The sequence below is a fragment of the Homo sapiens genome, chromosome 8 (assembly GCF_000001405.40).
Source record: "Homo sapiens chromosome 8, GRCh38.p14 Primary Assembly".
NCBI classification, from domain to species: Eukaryota; Metazoa; Chordata; class Mammalia; order Primates; family Hominidae; genus Homo; species Homo sapiens.
In genome coordinates this window covers 121,348,555-121,350,507 of record NC_000008.11, presented here as the reverse complement: position 1 = coordinate 121,350,507, position 1,953 = coordinate 121,348,555, and the positions used below count along the sequence as shown (strand labels likewise).

General features: G+C 38.7%; 1 annotated feature.

Annotated features, from left to right (window-relative positions):
- Nucleotides 1,345-1,639: an enhancer, noted in NCBI's record as "tiled region #1392; HepG2 Activating DNase unmatched - State 5:Enh". NCBI's record gives its function as "activates a minimal TATA promoter and a strong SV40 promoter by Sharpr-MPRA in HepG2 cells {active_cell/tissue: HepG2}" and the evidence as "EXISTENCE:reporter gene assay evidence [ECO:0000049][PMID:27701403]".

Below are 1,953 nucleotides of genomic sequence, written 5' to 3'. Positions count from 1 at the left end.
AGTGAAATGTAGTAAGGAACCTATTGGCATTCAGATGTCATGGATATGTTCTTGTTTTACACACACACACACATATATATATATACACACACGCACACACACACACACACACACACACACAGAGACATCCAAAAATTCCTACATCTTCATTGTTCAATTACTTATTTAGAAGTTATTGTACTCTCTCCTTCTATATAGCACAATGAAATTAATAGATTAAATATAGTACAAAATAGGAAAGTAGAATAGAACTGGAACCCAAAGTAGTGATCAAAGGACACAGCAGTTACCAGAATCCTAGGACTCAAGCCATTCGTCTATATTATTATAATATTGGCAACAGTTAACTGAGCAGGTGATATGTTTTAGGTACTTTGTACATGTTATCTTTCTTTCTTCTTATAGCTGACAAGCATCAAGTTTCATTATCCCTATTTCTCAGGTGAGGAAACTGAGGAAAAGAAATCTTTTGCAGCTTGCAGCAGCTCAAAGCATAGCTGTAAAGTGTTGGCCGTGAGCACTTAGTCACTGTACTATACTGTTCTTTATGGTCAAGTATCTGTAGCAGGAGCTGAGATGCAGTGGTAGGAGGTACCAGGGCCCTTACCTCAAAGAGCTCAGAGTCTCATATACTAGCCAGTTAACCAAATAACTGATTCAGACTACAATTTGTCCTGTAATCAAACTATAAATAATGAGTTTTAGGAAGAATGAAAAGAGACTAAATAATCCTTTAAAGCACACTGTGTTTTTATTTGCGTAGCTCGAGTACCTGCTATGAACGATGACAAGGCTATTGGAGAATATTCACAGCAATAGATATTTGAATTTGATTTTTATGAATAAATTCAATTTCCCTAGATAGAGAATGGGAGAGACCATTTCTTTTGGACATTAAGGATGGATAAAAATGCACATAACTACTACTAATAACCGAAAGGTAGTATTCCCTGAGTCACGGCTATGTGTGCAATGTTGTCCTAAGCATTTTATTTCTATTTTCTCATTTAACACTCACAATAAGGTAGGTAAGTACTATCATCACTCTTCATTCATAGACAGGAAATCTCAGGCTTGGCAACAATTGTTCACAGCCCAGGCTGTTAAAATCCAGCATCCATACCCTTAGCCACAGTGCTAAGCATTCTTTTGAGAACATCAAGGTTTCTTTCATTTTCTCTTTTCCTATTGACCCTCTAACCTCAACTCCGAGGTCCCACCATAGGGTTAAGTTGAATCTTGGCGTGCACAACCCCAGGAAGCACTAGTGCCCTCTCTTGCACATGGTATTAGATTTATTACATGTTAGTTATACTTTGGCTTGGATCCCTGCAGCTCTCCAACTGAAGGTGTTAGAATAGAATCAAGGATAGGGGAACCCCAGTAGTAGCAGGAGCAGAGCTGTTTAGTAACTGGAAACCAAACAAGCCATTTAGCTTTGAAGGCACAAGAAAGGCTTCATTTAGATACCAGGCAGAAAAGATCAAAGCTGAGGAATACAAACATGCCTGTTGTCTGAGTCAGGCAGCAAGTCACCAAAAGGGAGCCCACATCCTTTACTACAGAGCAGATGCAATACATCTGAGAGGTTACCATAAGCCAAATAAATACTGCCACAGAACCTCCCCTTGAAGTCTCATGGAAACAAAAGCACGAGCTTTCACCTGAAACAGAGAAGGGCTTGCTCTCTCTGCAGCTGGCACGTGGCCTTCTGCCCCATCATGTGTATCGTGTCTTAATGAAAATTGAACATCTACTAATAAAATTTCCTAAAAGCACCAAACCGCTTTACATATGTCTTTGAAGAAAACAAAAAAAAATTCATTCAAAACATTCCCTGGGCAATGATACATAAAGACTTCTTTGCAAATCACAACGGTTTCAAGTTGATAGTGAGCAACAAAGAGAAATACTGTGCTCTATGTAAGTGAACGTATAGCTCTCATAAATGAA